General features: G+C 42.7%; 1 protein-coding gene and 1 pseudogene across 40 annotated transcripts in view, besides 4 other annotated features; both read right to left on the bottom strand.

Moving 5' to 3' along the window:
- Positions 1-497, bottom strand: part of FHOD3 (formin homology 2 domain containing 3) — a 482,508-nt gene extending 482,011 nt beyond the window's left edge. For all 40 annotated transcript variants that reach the window (XM_011526189.2, XM_011526190.3, XM_017026008.2 and 37 more), the window contains exon 1: positions 210-497. In XM_011526189.2, the coding sequence (XP_011524491.1) occupies positions 210-374 (165 nt within the window). In that variant the 5' untranslated portion in view covers positions 375-497. The remainder of the gene's footprint in view (positions 1-209) is intronic.
- Positions 255-324: a silencer, noted in NCBI's record as "silent region_9404". NCBI's record gives its function as "represses an Ori minimal core promoter by ATAC-STARR-seq in GM12878 lymphoblastoid cells {active_cell/tissue: GM12878}" and the evidence as "EXISTENCE:reporter gene assay evidence [ECO:0000049][PMID:35858748]".
- Positions 445-734: a silencer, noted in NCBI's record as "silent region_9403". NCBI's record gives its function as "represses an Ori minimal core promoter by ATAC-STARR-seq in GM12878 lymphoblastoid cells {active_cell/tissue: GM12878}" and the evidence as "EXISTENCE:reporter gene assay evidence [ECO:0000049][PMID:35858748]".
- Positions 445-1,651: a biological region, named in NCBI's record as "H3K4me1 hESC enhancer GRCh37_chr18:33876522-33877499".
- Positions 674-1,651: an enhancer, noted in NCBI's record as "H3K4me1 hESC enhancer chr18:33876522-33877499 (GRCh37/hg19 assembly coordinates)". NCBI's record gives its function as "activates a minimal SCP1, AML or CMV promoter by ChIP-STARR-seq in naive H9 embryonic stem cells {active_cell/tissue: H9 hESC(naive)}" and the evidence as "EXISTENCE:reporter gene assay evidence [ECO:0000049][PMID:30033119]".
- Positions 23,240-24,742, bottom strand: LOC791126 (WDR45-like pseudogene; annotated as a pseudogene).

Raw genomic sequence — 24,742 nt, 5'->3', positions numbered from 1 at the left:
TCCCGCCCGCCCCGGAGGGTCCTGCGCCAACCAGCGGGTGCCTCGAGCCCTTCTGTCTAACGGGGAGGGGGATTTGCCCTCGAGCGATGGTCCCCCCGGGCCGCGCCCAGCCCAGCCCAGGGGGCCCACGAAGCCCCGGGACCCACCCCGGCGCGCACCGCGGCAGGGGGCTGAGTCCAGGGGGCCCAGCCCACCCCGCCGGGTCGTACCTTGTGCGGCGCCTGCAGCAGCCTATGGACCCCCGCCAGCTGGGTGCCGAGCGCGAGGTCCTCGCGGAACGTGAACAGCGGCGGCCGGCTGGGCTCGGGGAAGTTGGTGCTGTTGAAAGGGTCCGTGTCGTCCAAGAACTGCACCCGGCAAGCCAGCGTGGCCATGATGCATCCCTGCCGCGGGGGCGCGGGCCCCGGGGTTAGCGGGGCCGCGGGCCGGGACGCCCGGGTAGCTGCGCGCAGGGGAGGCCGCAGCCGCAGCTCGCTGGCTCGCGGACTCGCAGGCTCAGGCGCGCCGGGCTGCAGCCCGGGCTCCGGCCGCGGGGGGCGGGGCGGGGGCGGGGCCGGCGGGCCCCCTCCTTCCCCTCTCCCTCCGGCTCCTCCCCTCCTCCGGGTCCTCTACCCCCGGCCGGGCTGCCCCGAACGACCGGACCGCAGCCGGGAAAGTGCAAAGGAGACGGCTCGCGCGGCATCCGCAGCCCTGCGCCAAAGGCCGGCGGCGGAGGCGGGGCGGGGAGGCCGGGCGGCCGGACTCTGCTGCACGTGCGCCCCGCGGCCCAGGGCCGAGCTGCACCCCTCGGAGCCTGGAGGACCGAGTTGGGGAGTTGGGGGGTTGGGGGACGGGGAGACAGGCGGCCTTCTGACTTCTTCCCCACCCGGAGAAGGCTTAAGCCTTTCCAGATGAAGGCGGCGGCGGCCGGCTTCTGCTGCCCAGATTTGGAATACCCCGGCAGGGCACCAGGTGGCCAGGGAGCCGGCTTCGGCAGCAAGAGGGGTGGTGGCAGTGACCGGGAGCCCCACCTAAGGGTACGGGGAGGTTTCCCTTAGGGACAAAGAAGCTAAGAAAGAGGAGGGTGCGCCAGGGAACCCAGGCCGCTTTTAGGGCACAAGCCTAGAGTCGAGAGGCGTGGGGGCTGCGAGGCTTCGCTGCGGGACTCCAGCGCCGGGCCTGGACCCCGGGGCTCCCGGCGGATGCTGGTTAAACCTCTGCATCACCACGGCCTCTCCCCAGTTAGGCCGCCGAAAGCCCTAATTGGACCTTGTGGGGCCGCGGGGGCTTGGGGAGGTGGGAGCCCTTCTGGCAAGGTTCCCGAATTGCAGAGAGCCGGGGATGCCCTGGTAACCGAGGGACTGGGAAGGAAGGTTTGCGTCCTGCCCGCCCCTGCCAGGCGGGAGCGGCAAGACTCGGCGCTGCCTCCCACCGCTCTCCTCGCTGCTCACGGGCGACCCCCTTCGTTTTCAAGAAAAATTCACGGTTCTCCCTATTCCCAGGCCACAGCCAAGTTCCTGGTTCCTCCCCCCTTATATAGATCGCCCTCATAACACCCAGTCTCTCTTAACATCCGAGTGTTTTCAAGGCGACTCTATAACGCGTCTATCTCCCTTTCCTCTGGTTTCAAGGGAAAAGAAACCCTTATCCCTATTTAGCAGCCTCACCCACATCTTTAACCTCTCCCTCTCCGTGATCTCCCTCCCTGCCACACATACACACTTATGCCTGATCTTAAAATAATAATTCCACGACACTTCCGCTCCTTCCAGACGAACTTCTAGCTCTACTTTCTTTGTTATTTAACTCTTTGAATGAATCCTCTAGATTAGCCGTCCCCAATCTTTTTGGCACCAGGGACCGGTTTTGTGGAAGACGATTTTTCCACGGACAGTGGTGGGGTGGGGGTGGGGGGCGTTTGGGGGAGGAAGGGCAGATGGTTTCAGAATGAAACTGTTCCACCTCAGATCATCAAGAATTAGATTCTCATACGAGCGCGCTACCTAGATCCCTCGCATGCGCAGTTCAGAATAGGGCTCTCTCTGGCATGAGAATCTAATGCCTCCGCTGATCTGACAGGAGGCGGAGCTCAGGCGGTAATGCTCGCTCACTGGCCGCTCACCTGCTGTGTGGCCCGGTTCCTAACAGGCTACGGACCAGTACCGGTCTGCGGCCGCGGGGTTAGGGACCCCTGATCTAGACTGGATCTCCACCAACTTCCGCATCTCCTCACAGCCAGAATACTAAACGCACGAATTCTTCCCCTCTGAGATGGGCCGCCTGCACTTCCACCTTCACGTCCACCTCCCTCCTCACTGAGAGAGCCCTCCAGTCCTGGCCACCTCATTTCCTATCACTTTTCCAACCCGGATCCCAGCCCATCCTCTCAGGGGCCTCCTCTCCACACCCCTCCTTCAGTCCCACCTGTCCTTTGGGTACCTGGCTTGCTTCTGCCCCATCTACCAAGTGCCTGCTGCTAGTGGGACCACTCAGTGCCCCACTTCCACCCCAAAGCCCCTCAGCCTCTTACTCCACTGATGCTGCTGCAAGCTTCTGCCCCTTTCCTCGACTCAGAAATTAGTCAATAAGGTAAATAATTTCTCCAGAATGACTTCTAGCACCCTCTCCTCTTCATCTTTCATCTTATTTTCCATCTCCTCTCCATCTTCCATCTCCCACTTCTCAGAAGGTGACCAAAGTCATACTTTTCCTCCCATTCAAGGCTCTGCCCCCACCTGGACCCTGGGTCCCTTTCATCCCACTTGCTCTTGCCTGGGGCTCTATCACTGATCCACTCACTTCCACCTTCCTCCCCTGGCCCCTTACCCTGAGAACCAGGGCCTGCTTCCTGATGTGCAACTCTTGAAGCCACACAGGGCTCTGCACTTTAAAGGGTCCCAAATTGGTTTAATGTTTAGCTGTTGTTGTCTTGAATTTTTTAAATACTTTTTTAAGGAGTCCCGGCATTTTAGTTGTGCACTGGGCCCCATAAGTTATGTACTCAATCCTAATGAGAATAAATACTCAAGTGTTTTCCATCTTAAAAGCTGCATCTTTATGAAGCCCACTTCTCACTCTAGCTCCCTGGCTTATCTCATCATCACTTCCTAACCAACTTCTGAGAGAGAGCCATATTCATTTCTTAGCATCCTCATCACCTTTTCTCCATACCCCATGACATCTGGAAGGAAACCCCTTCCTGCCATTCTAAGATCATCAATGCCAGCCTAATTTTCTTACCTGGAGGACACCTTGGCCCTGCTACCCACTTTCTTGGCAGCATCTGTCACCATGGCACCATGGAAGATTCTTTTCTCAGACTCTTACCCCCTCAGCTCAATAGCTCTACCCACTGTAGGTTCTCCTCCTCCTTTGACAGCTCCTTCTCAAGTCTTTCTGGGCTTCATCCTCCTCTTGGTCCTGTTCACATTTCCTCTAGATTTTCCTGGCTTCAACCGTCCTCAACCTGCATGCATCCAACTCTATACTCACAGAGGAGTCCCTCTCCTCCCTTCTAGGCTCTGATTTTCACTGGGCAACTAAACATCCCTATCCTGGTTACCACATCATACTCAATTACACATTCAACCCAACACCCCAACCTGGCTGCCCATCCAGAAACTCTTCCACAAGGTTGCCGTCTGCCAGACTGCTTTACCTGCCTGTCTGCTGATTCCAATGCTCTCCAAGCCCTTGGAGCATAGAACACCAGAGCTATGGTTACTGTTAATTTATTGTCTGTGTTGTCACTAAAGAAAAAGCTCCTCTGGGCAACAACCATGCCATATTCAACTCTACGCCTACCACAGAGAAGACACACAATAAATGTCTAATGAATGTATCAACATCAAAGTCATCTTTGACTCCTGCATCTTGCGTTGGTCACTATGACTTGTTACTGAATCAGCCTCTAAAATATTTCTCAATTCTTCCCTTCTCTCTAGCCCTCACTTTCTATGCTAGTCTTCTAATGACTTCCCCAGACTTGCATCCTGCATTTGGTCTTCCACTGGCTTCCCCAGAGCCAGTGATCATTCTAAGATGTGTGTTTGACATATTACACCACAGGGTAAAATCCTTACATTCCAAACCCCTTAGCACAACTCACAAAGCCCTCTAAGACCTGCCTCAGTCTACCACTCCAGGCATATGGTTGGTCATTCCCAGCTTCACAGCCTGCTTTCAAGCCATGCCAAACTTATTACTCTTTCCCAGACATGCTGAGCTTTCTCATGGTGAGCATCTAAACCTAGAATGCTCTTGCCTATCTAGTCAGTCAGCTGAACCCACTTATCCTTCAATTCTCATTTCTAATGTCAACTCTTCTGGAGAGACATCTCCAACTCTACCCCAAACAAGGATTGTCTGTCTTTCTTCTGTGGTCTCAAATTACATATGCCCTTACTGTAGCACTTTTCATGTTACATTGTAAATGTATGCTTGTATATGCCTACTCCACTAACTATAAGATTTTCAGGATTGGAATTTGCCTTATTAAATTTTAATCTGAAAACTTCAGTGACTGGCACCTAAAATGAAACCTTCAGACTTTTTAATTATATAGGCTATCCTTAATTCTTTTAAGGATTTTTGCCTTGGCAAAAATTTACTAATTACTAATATTTTTTCCTCTAACAGCCAATTTTTTTCTCAGCCTAATTTTTAAATTATTTCTTTTTAGTAATGTAATGATTTATCTTAATTTAAAAGGCCAAGAGTAATAAAAAGTTATAACAAGATATCAGAAACAGACATCTGACCCTAGTTTACAACACCCCTTCTTAACATACACACTTTCCAGAGCCACTCGTTTCTAAATAGTGTGAGTACACTGCTGTACTTTGAGCTATCAATTTTAGATAATACACTGACCTTCTGTCATGCGGAGGGTTTTAGCTTCTTTATAGTCCATTTCCTTTTCCAATATTGTTCTGTCACAATGTTAGTCAAATTCTTATGCAGTGATTTTAAAATTTATGATGTTAATATTGTTCCTGTCTGTGCCAAGTTGTGTACAGGATTACATGCCCTTTCTTGTACAACTTTTTGTTTTTCCTCAAGTTAATGTTTGCCTCAATTTTTTTCATTTGATTATTATTTTTTCTTGAACAGCTGGCTAAATCATCTCATATCCTGCAACAGTCCTACAAATGCCTCTCTCAATATTGTCAAATAAGCTTTCAGTTCTATTCCATCCTCCTGCTCCAATTTGAAATGTGGCTCCCTCAGCCCTATCCTCCTGGATATTTTCTTGACTTTTCTCTTCTGCAGGTGCCCCTGGTTCCCAGCTCACTTATCTTATTATTTCTTAGTTTACACTCGCATTTTTTGTTAGTACATACTACAGTAGCTTTCTGAGAAAGGATGAAGTTTTGAAAAATTTTATGTCTCAAACAATCTTAAATCATTGTCCTAGCACTTGTCTTGGTGTGGCAGTTTTGTTGGCAAAGATGGCTACAATAATTCCTCCCACCCCTTGTATTCCCGCCATTTTCCAATATGACTTTGCCACTTCTCCTGTCACAAAGTGAAGTCTATCTCTCCACTCCTTGAGTTCGGGAGGCTTTGTGACTTGCTTTGACCAATAGAATATGGTGGAAGTGGCATTGTGTGACTTCTGAAACTAGGCCTCAAGAGACATTACGGCATCTCCTTTCACACTCTTGGAATATTGGCCTGGGACTACCATGTGAAGAGGCCAGATCTAGCCTAGGAAACCTGGTAAAGAAATTGCTACTGAAGACTGGAAAAAAAATGGTTACCTGAGTTATGCAGCAATTAAACAATTGACAGGACAATTGCCTAGAGTAATTTGGAAGATAGAAAATGTAACTAATGAGTTTATAAACTTGGCTAAGGAGATCTTTAGTCAGTATGTTGGAAGTATCTGTTGGGTACCTGTAGCTGCATATTACAATGAATTCTGTTTGCAAACAGAGTGAGTAGTTAAAATTTGCTGGGTTATAAAATAAACAATTTCTCACCCCCAGTTTCTCCAGTTAGTAAAAGACCTTCACAGTAAGAAATAATCTTGGTAAAGATCAGTTTAAAAATGTGGTTGTAGGCCAGACGCAGTGGCTCACACCTGTAATTCCCAGTGTGGGGAATTCCCAGTGTGGGAAATTCAACCACATTTTTGAGGCAGGAGGATTGCTTGAGCCCAGGAGTTCAAGGTTATAGTGGGCTATGATCATACCACTGCACTCCAGCCTGAGAGACAGAGCAAGACCCCATAGCTATGAAAAAAAAATGTTGAAATTCAGTTGTAAGACACTTTGTTACAGTCTCAGAGAGATTTAAGGTAGTGCCTAGCAGATCTTCTCATTTATACAAAAGAGCTTCTAAGAATCTTAAGGGTGTTGTTCCACAGCAGCATGACATGCCCAGAGGAGGAAGGATTATGTGTATAGTGTTTGGCACATGGAGTAAACCCTAGTAAGACTGATAGAAAATCCACAACATTTTTCAGATAGTTGTATTTATGAAAGCACTGTCAGCTTAGGCTAAAAGGGACTGAGATTGTTCAAAATAAAAAGAAACTTATGGAACTCCAACCTGAAATGGATAAGAAGCAGACAAACATAAAGAAGAATGAAATCATGTCCTTTGCAGCAACTTGGATTGAGCTAGAGGCCATTATCCTAAGTGAAATAACCCAGAAAAAGAAAATCAGATACCACATATTCTCACTTGTGAGAGCTAAACAGTGGGCACTCATGGACATAAAGATGGAAATAATAGGCACTAGGGACTCTAAAAGGGGAAGAGGAAGGAGGCAAAGGTTGAAAAGCTACCTATTTTGTTTACTGAATACCATCTCAATACTGTATTCACTGTTTGGGTGATGGTTTCACTAGAATCCCAAACCTCAACATTATGCAATATACCCACATAACAAAACTGTACCTGAATTAATAATAAAATAAAACTAAAGACCAGGCGTGGTGGCTTACACCTGTAATCCCAGCACTTTGGGAGGCTGAGGCAGGTGGATCTCCAGGTCAGGAGATCAAGACCATCCTGGCTAACACGGTGAAACCCCGTCTCTACTAAAAATACAAAAAATTAGCCGGGCGTGGTGGCAGACGCCTGTAGTCCCAGCTACTAGGGAGGCTGAGGCAGGAGAATGGCGTGAACCCAGGAGGTGGAGCTTGCAGTCAGCCGAGATCATGCCACTGCACTCCAGCCTGGGCAACAGAACGAGACTCCGTCTCAAAAAAAAAAAAAAAAAAACTAAAATTAATTAAAAAAAAAAAACTAAAGTAAGAAAGTTTCTCTGCTGCAAACACGGCAGCCATTACCTTTGGAAAAGGAAGGTTCTATCAGAGCATGGGAACTAAGGATCGTGGGGAACAAAAAACTTGGAAACCATCCCAGGAAGCAGAACTGGGCCGTAGTCTCCTGGAGTAAGAGAAACTGGCAACATGTGTCTGGCTGGAGTTCAGCATTGCTATGAATCAATGACTGCTGTGTGTCTTCCAATCTGTCTATTTTTTATTTTATTATTATTATTATTGAGATGGGTCTCACTCTGTCACCCAGGCTGGAGTGCAGTGGCGTGATCTTGGCTCACAGCAACCTTCACCTCCTGGAGATTCTCGTGCCTCAGCCTCCCAAGTAGTTGGGATTACAAGTGCACACCACTTCACCTATCTAATTTTTGTGTTTTTAGTAGAGGCGGGGTTTCACCAGTTGGCCAGGCTGGTCTCTAACTCCCGGGCTCAAACAACCCACCCACCTCAGCCTCCCAAAGTGCTAGAATCACAGGTGTAAGCCACCACACCTGGCCCCAGTCTGTCTATTTTTAAATGTGAGTGCCTCTTGAAGTTATTCTGTCCCAATTTCACCATTGCATATTGAGTGTGAAAGGGCTATACACTTTGTCTTTTACGGTAACAGGTCTCTGCATCAGAGCAGTTGTACCCGAGGAGAAAGTCCTCATCTGCATGCAGATTCAAATAATGGTTTCCTCACCACTTTCCCAGCCTCTGCCCCCTGCCCAGTCCTAAAACCACTGTCACACAATTTAGGGGTTTGTTATGGTAGCACTCTACTTCTAGGTACCAATTCCTGTTTTATTTAGTCTTTGTTGTATAAGAAACCACTCCAAAATGTAGTAGCTTAAAATAACAACCATTTTATTTTCTTTTGATTCTGTGGATCAGCAATTTGATCTGGTCTCACCTGAGATCGTTCATGTAGTTGCAGTCATCTAGAAGCTTGACTGGGACTGGTGGGACTAAAATAGCCTCCTTCCATGCCTGGTAATGTACGCTGGCTGTCAGCTGGCTGGTCCAGATGGGGGCTTCAGTTAGAATGGTTCATCTCTCCTTGGGTTTCTCATCTAATAGGCTAGACCTGGCTTCTTTACACTGGTAGACTTAGGATAGCATTCTAAGAGGTCAACAGTGGAAGCTGCAAGATCTCTTGAGACCTGGGCTTAGAAATTATGCTGTATCAGTTTTGCTACTCTTTTTTTTTTTTTGGTTGAAATAAGTTAAGATCAGCTTAGATTCAAGAAGTGGGGAAATAGATTCCACTCCCTGATGGGAGAAGTGAAATCACATTGCAAAGAGGTACACGTACCCAGATATGAAGAAATGTTGTAGTCATCTCTGAAACAATATAACACATATGTTATACAATTCTAGGTTAAAATGATTTTTACTCAGAATTTTGAGGCATTGCTTCATTGTCTTCTAATTTTTCTTGTTGCTTTAGACTATTTGTGCTGTGGTATAGCTGGCCCTCTGTGTCTGTGGGCTCTGCATCCATGGAGTCAACCTACACAGATTGGAAATATTCAAAAAAAGAATGAATGCTTGCATCTATACTAAACATGTACAGACTTTTTTTATTTGTCATTATTTCCTAAACAACACAACAGCTATTTACATAACATTTACATGATATTAGATATTATAAGTAATCTACAGATGATTTAAAGTATACAGGAGGATATGCATAGGTTATGTTAAATACTACACCATTTTATGTGAAGGACTTGAGCACCCACGGATTTTGGTATCCAAGGGAGGTCCTGGAACCAAACAACCATGAATATCAAGGGGCAACTGTATAGGTAACTCTACATTGTATAGGTAACTTTTTTCCCCTCTCTCTTTGGAAGCTTTTTGAACCTTCTCATTATTCCCAATATACTGAAATTCCATGATGAGGTGCCCTGGTGGGGATTCTTTTTCATTCATCCTGTTGTCATTTTGTGGATATTACTTAATCCAGAGATCCTGCTCTTTGATGCAGAAATGTTCTTATATCCTGTTTTTGATCATTTCCTCTCCACAGTGTTCTCTGCTTGCTCTTCCTAGAACTCCTATTATTCAGATGTTGGATCACTAAGCAGGTTCTCTAATTTTCTTAACTTTTCTGCCCTGTTCATCTCTCTGATTATTTTCTTCTACTTTTTGGGAAATTTCCTAAACTGTATTTCCTTTTCTTCTACTGAATGTTGTATTGCAGCATTCATGTTTTTACTTTTCAAGAATTCTGTCTTGTTCTGTGATTTTTCTTTTTAAAATATCTTGTTCTTATTTCCAGGATTTCCCTGATATTATTAACCACATTTTCTTTAAAGTTTTCTTCTTTTTGCTGCACTGTTTCTGTACACTTTGGGTTCTTCCTTTCTTCTTTTTCTTTCAGTTTTTTTCTTTTATAGTAGACACTTTCCTCAAATGGCATGATCCTTGGCTGTTCATCACATTGAAAGCCAACTGGGAGGCTGGGCAATGTGGCCCACTTCTGTAATCCCAGCACTTTGGGATGCCGAGGCAGGCGGATCACTTGAGGTCAGGAGTTTGAGGCCAGCCTGACCAATGTGGTGAAACCCTGTCTCTACTAAAACTACGAAAAATAGCTGGGTGTGGTGGCAGGCGCCTGTAATCCCAGCTACTTGGGAAGCTGGGGCAGGAAAATCGCTTGAACCTGGGAGGCAGAGGTTGCAGTGAGCCAGGATTGCACCACTGCACTCCAGCCTGGGCAACAGAGCGAGACTCTGCCTCAAAAAAAAAAAAAAAAAAGAAAAAGAAAAAAGAAAAGAAAGAAAGAAAGCTGATTGGAAGCTCTAGGGTATAATAGAGGCACTTTGCCTGATGGACTCCACTGCAGACCAAACCAGTGGACAAATGGCTTATTTCTTGACTATCTTTAGGTCTTTCCTCTGGGGTAGTTTACTTTCTCCAGAAAAATTTTAACAATACTGCCCTTTGCCCAGAACAAGAAAGGCCCCTGCCTTGGGCTCCATGCTTTGGAGGGCCTCATCCTGGCCCTGCTCCTGCCATCCTTCCCTATAGGGCAAGTCCACAGGACCAAGATGTTATGCCCACCTGGAACCCAAGCTGCTCTCTAGACTATTCTCCAGGCACCAGGACCTCAGATGCCCACATGACTCTGAACATGTCCCCAAGGCCTGTATGTGTGTGTCATTTTCAGAGCATCCGTAGGGGTGCACCCCTAAGCATGAAAAGGGGCTAAATGGCAGCTGATTGCAGGGGAAGGTATGGACAGAGTTTGAATGTATAGTCTCCAGTGTCTACACATCTGGGGTTCACGGCTCAAGGGTGAGAAGAAAATGGCTGTAGGCTATGGCTGGCAACCAGGAGCTGGACCAGCTCTTCCCATGCCATCGTGCTCCTATGCAGAGTGCCAAGGATTTTGTCAGAGTAGGAGGCTAGCACATATTTTAGTTAATATTTCTTATGTTTAATTTATGAATGTTAAATATTTAGACATATGACATATGGGTATCCATTTGAACTTTTGTCCTGGGCCCCACTGATGCTGGGAGTGAGCCTGCATCTTTCAGCCTCCCAGCCTCACTAGAACTGGGTGGGGAAAGATGCAGGGTCACTCTGTCCACTCCTCAGTTCCCGTTACTCTCCCCGCATTCTTGTCGTCAGGCACACTTCTACCTTCTCTAAATCCTGAAGCCACTCTGGTTCATTCTCCCTAGAGGCTGTACATGCTGCCTCCTTGGTCCTATGAAGGTGCCACGAACACAACAAGCTACACCAGGGAAGAACTGGAGTGTATGTTCCTTATGATACACTTGAAAGCCCAACTGCAGGGAACCTGAACACATGGATCTGCATGCTAGTGAAACACTGCACGCTTTATATTGCACATTTCTAGTGGAAAATACTATGACTGTACCTGGCAATATTTTCATAAATATTATCCTGGAATTCCATTCATATTCTTAGAAAATAATTTAGCAGGAGCAAAAAAAAATGAATAAATAAATAGCCATGTTCAAAAATAAGGTTTATTGTAGTATTAATTATAAAATTAAAAACTGGAAATTTATATGTCTATCAATATGAGGTATATTTGTATTACTTATAATACATGAATACAACCATGCATTATTTAAATGTACTTATGAAGACCATGTTGAAATACACAAAATCTTTAGAGTAAAACAGAATACAAATAGTGTACATTGACTTTAGCCACTGGAAAGCAATTGTATGGGGGTAGAAGGGTCTTGAGTGTCCAATTTTCGATTATTTTTTCTAAGGTAACTTCACCTTTTCTGGTTAAAAAGTTTTAGCTAGTTATCTATTTAGCTAAAAAAAAAAAAAAAAGTAAGGCTATTTTACCAAACTGTGGATAAATGTGACATAATATTTGCTGTGCCCCAGGAGGAAATGAGAGAATTTTTTTTTTTCTTTGAGGAGTTTTGCTCTTGTCACCCAGGCTGGAGTGCAGTGGCGTGATCTCGGCTCACTGCAACCTCCACCTCCCAGGTTCAAGCAATTCTCCTGCCTGAGCCTCCCGAGTAGCTGGGATTACAGGCACCCACCACCATGCTCAGCTAATTTTTGTATTTTTAGTAGAGACAGGATTTCACCATGTTGCTCAGGCTGGTCTTGAACTCTCGACCTCAGGTGAACCACCCGCCTTGGCCTCCCAAAGTGCTGGGATTACAGGTGTAAGCCACTGTGCCCGACCGAGGATAATAATTTTTGATAACCAGACATGCTTCCTGCAACAGAGAGCTTCAGCACCCAGGTGGAAAGGAAATCCCCAGGTCACAATGAATGGAGGACTCTGTCCTGACTGCAGCAAGTAGTGTCTCCGAGTGATGTCAAAACAATTTGTTTCCACCCATAAGTTGAAGAGGAAAGACCAGGACAGGTCTTCATGGGACCGTTTAGGAAGTTAACAAAAAGTGCTTCACTCTGTAAACTGCAAAAAGCACTGTAAAAGTAACCCTGGAGAGGTTGGGCGGCACTTAGATGGACAAGAAAAGGAGGCAGTGAGAAATCAGGCAGAGGCAGATTTATTACAAAGGTAACAAGGTTTCAGCTCAGGGCTGTTACTGTGCAGACTTCTTCCAAAGCCCCTTCTCTTCTCATGCAAGTCAATCTTTTTGTATCTAATTTTTAATTCATGGTTTTATATTCTTTGTTTGTTTCTGTTTGGGGTTGGGTTTTTATTGGGTTTTGGTTTGTTTTTTGTTTTGCAGGGTTTCTTTTTCTTTTTCTTTCGAGACAGGGTCTTGCTGTGTCACTCAGGCTGGCTCACTGCAACCTCCACCTCCCTGGCTCAAGCAGTCCTCTCACCTCAGCCTCCAGAGTAGCTGAAACCACAGGTGCATGCAGTCACACTCAGATAATTTTTAATATTTTATAGAAATGAAGTCTCACTATATTGCCCAGGCTGGTCTCAAACTCCTGGCCTCAAGTGATGCTCCTGCCTCAGCCTCCTAAAGTTCTGGGATTACAGGTATCAGCCACTGCACCTGGCCTGATTTTGTATTCTTTTCCTTAAAGATGACTTTAAAATTGCATGCATTTTAGGCTCACAAAACCTAGATCTGCTGCTGAGAATGGGCACTATATATTAAAGCTCTCTCAATGTACACACACACTCCACATAGATGCATTAAAATACTCTCTCTATATATACATATACACATCTCTATACATATTAAAACGTTTTCTATATGTACATATATTTATATATTTTTGTATACAGTCACACACCCACTCAGAAAGAGAGAGAGAGAGACTCTACCTAATGAAATCACCAATGCAAAGCAGCGTCCTTAAAGAATTCTAAGAAAAATAGGGAACCCCAAAAGAATGGTCGATGTAAAGTAGGTTTAAGTAATCTGATCAAGAAATAATTCAGAAACTAACTTTTAAACGACACCAACATCAATACTGAAAATCATCTGAAATCTGGTCCATTCAGTAACCCAGGCAGAGGGTCAGAGGTGTGATCATGTTTGCCATTCTTCTCTTTAGGATTTGCTGACCCAATTTGCACCAGTTTTTAGCCTCTTGAAGAAACAAATTCTGCACTTACCTAATGCTGCCAGCAGGTGGTAGACTTGGATTACTCAGGCATAATTATTTTGAGGCACTGAGCTAAAATACAAACTGGCTCATTTGATCTCGATTCTATAAGATAGATCCTGTGGTTTTCCTCGCTTTTCAGATGAGACATAGTAAGACTTAGAGATGTTCAATCACTTGCTCATATAGTATGATGTTTTCCATGATTTTTATTTGGAGATTTGCAAAGTGAGTTATGTAGAAGTTAATTCTGTCTGCACAAACAAGAGAATAGGGAAAAGACTAAAAACAAAAAGGAAAGACAGGCTGAAGGTGCCTGCCAGGTGGATGGATCCTAGCTTTCCTTCTGCTTCCAAGGATGTCCTGAACTCTTCCCTTGGCAAGAAGAGCCTCAGCCTTTCTTGGAGATCCGAGGTGCTGGGAACACTGCCTGCCCAGTGAAGGTTTCTGCTGCTTTCAGTGTCCTTGGATGGCTTGTTGTATCAGCATCCTCTTCAAGCACTAGCCAGCATTCGGTTCTAGCAGTGGATCTCTGGATCCGCTGGATCCCTGTAGCCTGTGCTGTCCTCAGTAGCTTACCCCTCCCTCTCGGATAAAAAAGAGCTGAGAAGGATGGGACACAGTTGGTCCAGAGGGCTTCTTCTGATCAGAGGGTCACTCCAAAGAACAAATGCCATCACTGGAGCCAGCCTTCCAGTGCCTAGCGTCTCTCATCGCAGTTGAAAGGTTGTGGCACACTCCAAATGCCTTTTCCTCTCTTCCCTTGCTGAAGGCCCTGGAGGCCAGAGGTAGTTGTTGGTGGAAACGGACATGGCAGCTTCTGTATGGACAGCATTCTTTTTTTTTTTGAGATGGAGTCTCTTGCTGTCACCCAGGCTAGAGTGCAGTGGCATGATCTCAGCTCACTGCAAACTCCGCCTCCCGGGTTCAAGTGATTCTCCTGCCTCAGCCTCCTGAGTAGCTGAGATTACAGGCGCCCGCCACCATGCCCAGCTAATTTTTTTGTATTTTTAGTAGAGACAGGGTCTCACCATGTTGGCCAGGATGGTCTCAATCTTCTGACCTCGTGATCCACCCACCTTGGGCTCCCAAAGTGTGGGGATTACAGGCATGAGCCACTGAACCCAGTTCATGGACAGCTTTCTGTCATCCCAAGGAGATGGCACTCTGACCATCTGTGGGACTTCCCTTTCAATCTCACAGGCCAACCTGGTCCCTGCTAGATGTACACCTGGCTCCCGAACCTCCCTGAAAGCGCCATTGTCCTTGTGATCATCTGATAAGAGCCATCTAGCTCACTGAACACGAGAACTGTGGGACCGTGCCCATGGCTTAAGCCTGTAATCCCAGTGTTTTGGGAGGCTGGGGCGGGAGGATGACTTGAGCAAGGGGTTTGAGGTTACAGTGAGCTATGATCATGCCACTGCACTCCAGCCTGGGTGATAGAGTGAGATGCTGTTCTATAAAAAAGAACTGTGGTCTTTTCTTTTCTCACAATCACCATCCAGTGCAATGGGAGGCACACAGTGGCCATCACAGCTCATGAACAAATCACTTGCTAATGCTTATTTTTACAATATTTTATGTGTATCAAAAAGCAATTTGTTTAATAAACAATAATGGCTTTCCTTGAGTGAGGTGAGCAAAAAAATGGATGCCTGAGTTAGAGGCCTGGGTTCAAAACCTAGCCCCACTACTTACGAGCTCAGGGTCCTAGGGCAAGTGACTTACTCTCTCCGTGCCTCTCTTCCCTCATTTCTAAAATGGAGATGGTAATAGTCATAGATTTCTCATAAACTTGTTAGAGAGGATTAAGTAATTTAATACCTGTGAAGTGCTTACAATGGTGCCCACAATGATCATTATTCAGCAGTTTATCACAATGGTGAAAAGGCAGACCTAGGTTCAAATCTTATCCTTGCTCTGTATAAGTCGTCCTCTGATCTTGATTGGGTCAATTAATCCCTCTAAGCCTCAGTTTCCTCATTTGGAAAATGTAGGTATAAATACCTACCCTTAGGGTTTTTGTGAGAATTAAATAAAATAAAAGTGCATGACTCTATATACATTCACAAGTAGAAAATAAATGTTATTTTTATTAATAAATTTCTTTAATAAGAAATAGTTTTTAATGTGCAAAAAAGTATGATCTCAATAACCCTACTCATCTTCAGTTACTGCAATCAAAATTCCAACATACTACTTTGTCACTAAGTCACTAAATGAGTTGTTTTTCTCCATGTTTTATGAGAAAAGTCATCGTGCTTCCACTGGTAAGAATTAATTATTGCTGAGTGAATGATTAATTCAGCATCATTAAGCAACTGTGTTTTTTAAAAAGGCTAATTTGAGCTATAAGCAAAACATGTGGAAAGGGTACAACTACTATAAATTCAACATTTTGAATAGATTTCTCGTAAATCTGCTGCTTTAAATGTTAAATAAACATTTAAAATTCATTGGGACTTCTTAGCTGAAGCCATGTTTTAACAGGATTTATAAGTTTTTTCTAAAATTGGGGACCAAACTCTGCGTGTGAAATCATTTTTAAATGCTTCCCTCATGGGAACTGTTGAAATTAGTGACTAGATTATTTTAATGGTTTCTGCTTATACATTGGTTCCACCCACTAGATCCTCACTCAGCTCCTTAAGAGCAGGGACTATGTAAAATGCATCTTTGTGCCCCCAGCACGAAGCACAGTGCTCGGCACTATGATCCATCAAGTTTCATTAACCAAAGCTGGTGAAGAAGGCCAGGAGAGGAGGGTAGTGAGCCAGAGAGGAGCCCAGGGTGGCATCCAGCCAAGATCTCAAAGGGATGACAAAAGGGTGTTCTAAACTCCCAACGAGCTGTCTGGAAAGGCCAGGGCTGAGCTTTTTTCAAGAATCCTGGAGAGCCACCACATATGGCTTTTCCATCAATGCAAAGAACAGAGTCACAAGAGCACTAAGAGAAGCTACACAGAAGGGCACGAGTTATTGGTGGCACGGGGGAAAGTCTGGAAACCTATACACCAAATCATTCAAGGTTAACTGTGTCTCTGATAGGGTGGTAGGATGAGAGGGTATTTCTTTTTGCTCATCTCTATTTCTACTTTTCCCACAATAAGCTTACATTTCTGCATCAGTTCATTGCTCTCGGTGACTCTTGGATCCATCCTCTGAAAGGTCTTTTCTTCTCCATAACACTCCTTGGGTTATGTCCTTCTGAAGTGCCCGTCTGAAAAGGGCACTTTGGAGAATGTGCACTTTTTGGTGGCTGAATAGCCTTATCTTTTTTCTTTCTTTCCATATGAAGTCTGAAGCTTAGAAGTTTTTTTTTATATCTTGAATAGTCAGTCCCTTTTAGTCCAGACTGGTGGCGCTTTTGCTAATACAGATCTTTCAAAACTAAATGGAAGGTTTTTATTTTGGTCAACTCTATGTATTAAAAATCACACAACAATTCTGATGAGGAAATATTGACAAGAATTGGGCACATCAAGCTTTTATGGTACTACACATTTAAAACTTTCTAGAAACCCAAAAGTGTACCTTATTTCAGAGTTCTTAGCTAATTATGTGATGGCCATGACCTTGATGTGGTTCTCTCCTAGCCTGAGTTTATTTATCTTCCTTAGAACTTTGCTGAACTCTGCAAAAAGGAGCCCCATCAATGTGATTTTTTTCCGTATGTCTTCTAACATATGCCATACGGTTGGCATATGGTCAATGTCTCAAAAGACAACAGGCAACAGATTGATAAATATTTTGCCGCAATATAATAAAGGTTATCAACCTTCCAATTTGAAATATTTGAGTCCTTACTATTCACTGATGTGGTACACATCAGGCACCACATTTTCTATCCGTCAGAATTCTTAGTTGGAAACAATAGAAACTAATTCTCACAAGACTAAGCAGAAAATAGGTGTAATAAAGGATATTGTGTAGCTCGCAGACTCCCCAGAGAGCCAAAGAATCAGTTTTGGAGATTGCATAGCTACTCTAAAGTAGACACCACTAAAGGCTCTGCCAGGCATCGCACCACAGATCGTACCGCCATGCTCACTGCCTCCATCACTACCACCAGTAAGCCATGGAGATTTTTGCTTTGCTTGTTAGAGCAGTTAGTATTATTTACACTAATATTTCTTCTGCTTGCTAAAAGGTGTGTTTAATTACAAGTGAATGTGGAATTTCTATCAAAATTGTTCTCTTCATTTACTGAGACAATTTGACTTGCTCCTTTAATCTCTTATTTTCTAAAAGTAAACCTCGGCATCCTTGAAATTAATACAACATGGTCATAATATATCATCTTTGCAGATATTACTGAACAAAGTTTGCTACTTTTTAAAGAATTTCTGAATTTATGTTCATAAGTGATAGGAGCTTATAATCCTCAGAAATGGCTATATGAATATTAGATAAATTGGACTGCAGAGCAAAGAAAATTTCTAAGGACAAAGAATATTACACATCAATAAAGGAATAAGTCCATCACGAAGGCATAGCAATCTTAGGGGAAATGCACCAAATAACATAGCTCCAAAATACATGAAGCAAAAACTGATGCAGCAGAAAGAAAAATATTAATAAGACAAATACACATTGTATTCAGAGATTCTGGCAACCAGACAAAGACAGTGCAAGAAAAGAAAATTACAGACCAGTATCCCTCATGAGCTTAGATCCTCAACAAAATATTAGCAATCAAACCCAGGAATATATGAAAAAAATAAAATATCAGGATCAATGGAGTTTATCCAGGAATAGCAAGACTATTTCAATATTTGGAAACCAATCAATATAGTCCACCATAATAACCACAGAAGAAAAATCACATGATCATATCAATTGATACAGTAAAACCATTTAACAAACTTCAAATGCCCCCATAATAAAAGTTATCAGCAGCCTAGGAATAAGAAAGCAACTTTCTCAACCTCATAAAATGCACCTACAAAAACCTTATAGCTAAATTATACAAAATGGTGAAAGATTGAAAGGCTTATTCCTAAAATCAGGAAGAAAGCAAAGATATCTACACAATACACATGCTTTTCAAGCACATAGAGTATCTATAAAAATTGACCATTTTTATGATGACTGTAAACCATGAACCATTTTTTTTTGGACAGGGCCATAAAGCAAGTTTCAACAAATTTCAACGATTGAAATCATACAAAGTGTGTATTCTGACTATAATGCCACTGAGCTAGAAATCAACCAAAAATAACCTAGAGAAACCCCATATGTTTGGAAATGAATAAAAACACACTTTTAAATAACCTGTGTATAAAAAACAAAATCACAATGAAATATTGGAAAACATTTTTATCAGAATGGTAACAACAATACTATGTATCAAAATCTGAGATGAAGCCAAAATAGTACTTAAAAGAAAATCTATAGGCTTGTAAGAATATATTAGGAAAAAAGGAGAATAAATTAATTAAGCATTCATTCCAATAAGTTAGTAAAACAACAACAACAAAAACAACAGTAAGTTAAATCCAAAGATATTAAGAGGGAGCAGGTGCTGAGGAGAGAGCCCCTCACTAGCTACCACATGTTCCAGCCAGATACCACACATCTCTATCCCTCAAAGAACCCTGACCAGCCTCTGGTGCAGTGGTACCCCTAAGTGAACTCGCCCTTTTGGAGGCTCACCTGATTACTCTCTATCAGCCTGCCAGGCAGACATCTGGAGCTGGACCTAGGGATTGGGGTTTTGTGGGCTAGTGTGGGCTTAGCAACATTCCAAGGATATGGACAAGAGATTGAAAGAGGTGTCAGGGGCAAGTCAGCATTTGCTGTCCACTTCATTCAGTCCTATTTCGTCCTAAAGTGTGATCCAACCGTTGAAGATTTGTACATAGAGCCATGTGTAATTGCTAGCAGTGCAGCAATGTGTGATCCATCAAGAGCAGCTTGGATATACTGGGATAAGAAGAGTTTGGAGTCATGAAAGAATAGCGTATGAGGAGCAAAGCAGGTTTCCCATTGGCCTTCTTAGTCTCTCATGGAGGTGGTTTTGAAGAACCATCTTTTTGAGAATAACATATAAATAAAATCAATGACAAATTCTCAGAGTAAAGCACTGAGCAAATTTTTCCAATGACTATGGTTGGAAATAAAGCTAATGTGGACATTGCAGTTAGATAACTCTTGAATAAGGACCACAGCTACTATGACATCTTAGGTAGGACTAGCTACATAATTTGTGGAACTCAGTGCAAAATAAAAATGTGAAGCCCTTTGTTCAAAAATTATTCAGAATTTCAAGATGGCAACAGCAAAATATTAAGCTCAGCAGTGCTGATCTTACATCCTGTGACTTTACTAACCTCACTTATATTAGTTCTAGGAGTTTTTCTCTTTTCTTTTAAAAAGCTATTTGGATATTCTACATAGACAATCATGTTATTTGTGAATGAAAATGGTTTTATTTCTTCCTTTCTAATCTTCCCTTCTAAATAATCTGTGTATAAAAGGCAAAATCACAATGAAATATTAGAAATATTCTAATGAAACATTAGAAAACATTTTTATCAGAATGGTAACAACAATCCCATACTTCAGCGTTCTGTGTATGTTTATTAAGCCACATTTGTAAATCACATTGTTCAAATCTTTTATAGTTTTACTAACTTTTTGAAGGCTATTTCTGTCAATAACTGAAAAAGATGTATTCAAATTTCCCTCTTGTGATTATAGAATTCTTTATTTCTCTTCTAAGTTCTTCCTATTATTTTTTAACGTTAGTTTCTAGTTGGATTAGAATATTCTTCCCATTTTGCTTTATATCTCTTGAGAGTTTGTTTTGAGGAACATAAAAATTTAGAAGTCTTTCTTACAATTTTTAAAAATTTAGGCTGAATTTGTTATATGTTTCCTTTTTTAGTCCTAATAATGTTTGTGCTTTTTTTTCTTGCCAGAGGTTTGTAGTATTTTTTAGGTTTTTAAATTATGTTTGTTGCCCTTTTGTTCTGTGTTTCATTAATTTGTTTTCTGTTAGTTTCTTCTTCCATTTTCTCAGAATTTATTTTGCTATAATTTCTCTAACTCTTTAAGATGAAGTTTTTAGGTTTCTCCTTATATAAGCATTTTAGGATATAACACTTGTTCTTTGTATTATTTTAGCTTAATTTGCAAATTTTTATGTATGATATTTTAATATTGGTATGTCCTAAATGTTTTCTAACTCCTATTATGATTTTCTTTTACTTATGAGCTATTCAAAAGTGTTTTAAAAATATTATGTATATATCCTAGTTATTTTTGTTTTTGATTTATAATTTGATTTTGTTGTAGTCAGAAAATGTGGTCTGTATACCTATTCTTTGAAATTTGCCCTAGGTCTAGGTAACGCACGGTCAATTTTCACAAATATTCCATGTAAAAATATGTATTTGCTCATTGTCTGGTTAAGGATTCTACGTATATTCACTACATGAAGGTTCCTTTATCATTTGTGTTCTTCACCTGTATCATGGCCTTACTAAATTTTGTTTGCTTTATTTATTGTTCACTGAGAGAACTTTCCCATCATAACTGTGGATTTCTCAATTTCTTCTTATAATTCAGTCATGTTTTGTTTCATTGTTGCATGGGCCTTAAGACTCTAGTATTGTGTTGCTATTGGTTTAAACTGTTGTATGTTCCTGGAGAATTTAACCCTTTATCATTATGTGGTCACTTTATCCCTAAACAGGATTTTTGCCTTAAAGCCAAATAATAAACCGGTGATAATTAAAATATCATTGCTTCTAATGTATCTATACCAGCTTTCTTTTGGTTAGTATTTGCCTGGAACATCTTTTCCCATTCTTTTACTTTCATCTTTTTTGTTTCCTTGGTTTGTCTCCTTTCTGCAGTATATGGATTTTTTTATATTCAATTTAACCATTCTGCTTTACTCCCCTCAAAACATACCATTAGTTGCTTACATTTATTGATATTACTAATATACTTGGATTTATATCTTCCATATGATTTTTCATTTATTGTGCTTTTTCTATGATTTTTTTCTCTTCCTGTCTTCTTTTGACATGATCAAGTATTTTTAATTCCATTTTTGCTCAATTTATTTAGAAGCTGTCAACTCTGTTTCTGTTCTTTTAATTCTTCTCCTAAAATGCTGACACACTTCTTAACAAAGTATCAATGTAACATCGCCATGGTTAGGAAGACCTGCTCAGAACCCGACTGTGCCAGATTGAATCACAACTCAGCCACACCCCACTGTGTCCCTTGGGAAGTCACTTTTGGCCTCCTGAGGGCCAGTTTTCCCCTTGGGCAAAATAGTGATGATGATAATAATATCAAACTCACAGGGCTGTTCTGGGGAATAAGTTAATTACCTAAAAAGGCTTAAGACCATGCCATGTGTAGAGCAGGCTTTTAAATTAACTGTAGTTATTGTTATTGCTGCTACGTTACTCACTCTCCTTCTAATACAAGAACTTTAGAATTCTTTAGCATGACCAATGACAAAACGTTACTTTTTGATAATTTGATTCTTTTTCTTTACTCTTTAATTAGTCATTAGTGTTACTATTATCGTTTCATTCTGTATTTTTATAATTACTCTTTTATCTATTTCTTTACTCATTATTTCTCTTTCCTTATCAGTCCTTGATTCTAAGTTCAACTTCCTTCTCCCTGAATTACAAACTTTAGAAGTTCTTTCAGAGGAGATCTACTTTGGGTAAACTATCTGAGTTTTTGAGACTTGGCCGGGTTCAGTGGCTCATGCCTAAAATCCCAGCACTTTGAGAGGCAGAGGCAGGCACATCACTTGAGGTCAGGAGTTCAAGACCGGCCTGGCCAACATGGTGAAACCCTGTCTTTACCAAAAAATATAAAAATTAGGCAGCAGTCTTGGTGCATGCCTGTAATCCCAGCTACTTGGGAGGCTGAGGTGGAAGAATCATTTGAACCCTGGAGGCAGAGGTTGCAGTGAGCTGAGATCACACCACTTCATTCCAGCCTGGGTGACAAAGTGAGAAACACTCTCTCTCAAAAAAAAAAAAAAAAAAAAAGAAAATATGTATTTTCCCCTTTGTTCTTGACTGATTGATAGCTTAGCTTCACTGAGCAGAAGACCCTAGAAGGACTGCGATTTTTCTCTCAGCACTTTGGACAGAGTCAACATTCTGTCTTCTGGTCTATTGTTGCTTTGTAGGAATTTATCTCTTTGCTGTGGCTGCAACTTAAGATTCTATCTTTGTCTTTTGGGTTTCTATGGTTGCATTACACTGTGCCTATCATGGATTTGTTTTTATGTATCATGCTCAGGACTGTGCTTCCTAAAGTTGAGAATTCATGATTTTCCTTAATTCTTAAAAATTCAAATGTTATCTTTGCCCTGTTTTCTCTACTTTCTCCCTCTGGGACTGATTTCAACAGTTAGTCCTGGTCAAGTCTCCCTCTCTTCATTCCCTTTCTTTGTCTCCTCCATGCCTTCTGGACATCCTCTTTAGATCTGTTTTCCAGATCCCTCTTCAGATGTGTCTCAACTGAAGCTCCCAGTCCCTGAGTGTTGAAATTCAATCATTAATGTTTTATTTCATGTTAGCTTTGATACTTTTTCAAACTTGCCTAATATCATGTTCTTTTCTTAAGTCTTTAATTACTTATTTTATTTCTTCATTTCAATATTTATGTTTGTTTGTTTTTTTGAGACGGAGTCTCACTGTCGCCCAGGCTGGAGTGCAGTGGCACGATCTCCGCTCACTGCAACCTCTGCCTCCCGGATTCAAGCGATTCTCCTGCATTAGCCTCCTGAGTAGCTGGGATTACAGGTGCCCACCACCACACCTGGCTAATTTTTGTATTTTAGTAGAAACAGGGTTTCACCGTGTTGGCCAGGCTGGTCTCAAACTCCTGACCTCAAGTGATCTTCTTATAATGCAAGAACTAACATTTACACACTTGTTCGTTTCCCCACTGTAGATTCAGTAAAAATGATGGAGTCTGTTGCAAAAACACCCTTGAATTTGCCCATCCTCTCGACCCAGCCCCCAGGTTTGTTTGCAGACCCTGTCAGTCCCAGCAGAACTAACGGGGACAGCCAGGCAGTCAGCATGGCCTACTTAGAGCCACGGAGTGTCTGTAGTACCTTGATGAGGATTCTGTCTTTAATACCAAAATGGGAGTCCTTCTTAGGAAATCAGACAACTACGTATGGTTTCAGACCAAGGTCCCTGGGCAGACCCGCCAGCCCGTGATCCAAGAGTCCCATGGGGCACTGGCACCAACCCCAGGAGTTTCAGGGATAATGAGTGTTGGGTGCTGTTGCACTCATGGTTGAGGAATCACAGCTTGTCGTAGATCATTTCTAGAAACTGCGCATAGATGTCTGGGATGCATTCCCTTCTGGGGTTGAATAGGAATTTGTAGTAGCCGACATCTGCACAAATCGCAGTGACCACATTTGGCTCTGTTCCAAGGGCACAAATGCATGGAGAGCCCAAGGGAACCTGAAACTTGGAGAAACCCCTTTGCAACTAAAGGATTTTGGAAGGAAACTAGCTGACACCAAATTGGACTGTTTTTTCCTCCCTGGGTCTTCAGCTGCAAAAATGTGCACTGTGCTGTGGTCACTGGATATGCAGATGAAGGACTCATCTTGATTGAAGTTAATGCAGAAAACATTAGCTGCTTGAGATCCTCTTCATAGTTCCTGGATTAAATGTCCTGATGAGGTATCAAATATTCTTATAAGGGTCCCTTTTGCGAGTGTGGTTGCAATTCTTGTTCCCTGCAGGTTGAGTATCATGCAGCTCAGGATGCCCTCAGGAGCGGGAATGTCCACAGGTGGCTTCTCTGTGCTGGCCCAGTCCACGAGCTGAACATGGCTCGTGTGCATGCCTGGCAAGGCCAGAAGAGAGTTGTTGCTATTGGGACAGAGGACAGAGGCCTTTAGGGTTTTAGGAGGTTTCAAAGATGTACAACTGATGGGGGTTCTGTGTGAGTGCAAACACCTTAATCATGGAGTCCAAAACAACCACAATTCTATCTCGCTGCAATTTGACTGCCTTGACTTCTGTAGCAAATTCTATTTCATTAACAGTCTTCTTTTTCAGTCATCTCAGATCATCACTTTGTTGGGAAGGTATTTTGGCTTTTTTCCACCAACAACTAAAGCTAAATAGTTGCAGCAAAATAACATTTCATTATGACCAACTCTTCCTCCTAGAAATTTGTTTCTCTTTTTATTTTAATGGATTGGTGTTATAGACTCAGAATCCGTTTTCCATCCCACAAGCAAGGCATCCGTGGTCTTGGCTGAAGCCGGTGTAGAGCAGCTAGTTACTGTGGGAGTTACAGGGTAGGAGGATCATGGCGCCACTGGGCTGGCCCTCCCATTCTCAGCGAGCTGCCTGGGGAGGCTGGCTGGCTGGTCCGGTCCCACCAGGCTGGTGCTAAGGCCGCCCCAGGAATGGAAGT

The sequence above is a fragment of the Homo sapiens genome, chromosome 18, assembly GCF_000001405.40.
Source record: "Homo sapiens chromosome 18, GRCh38.p14 Primary Assembly".
In the NCBI taxonomy this organism is placed as follows: domain Eukaryota; kingdom Metazoa; phylum Chordata; class Mammalia; order Primates; family Hominidae; genus Homo; species Homo sapiens.
This window is presented reverse-complemented; position numbering and strand designations above follow the sequence as displayed.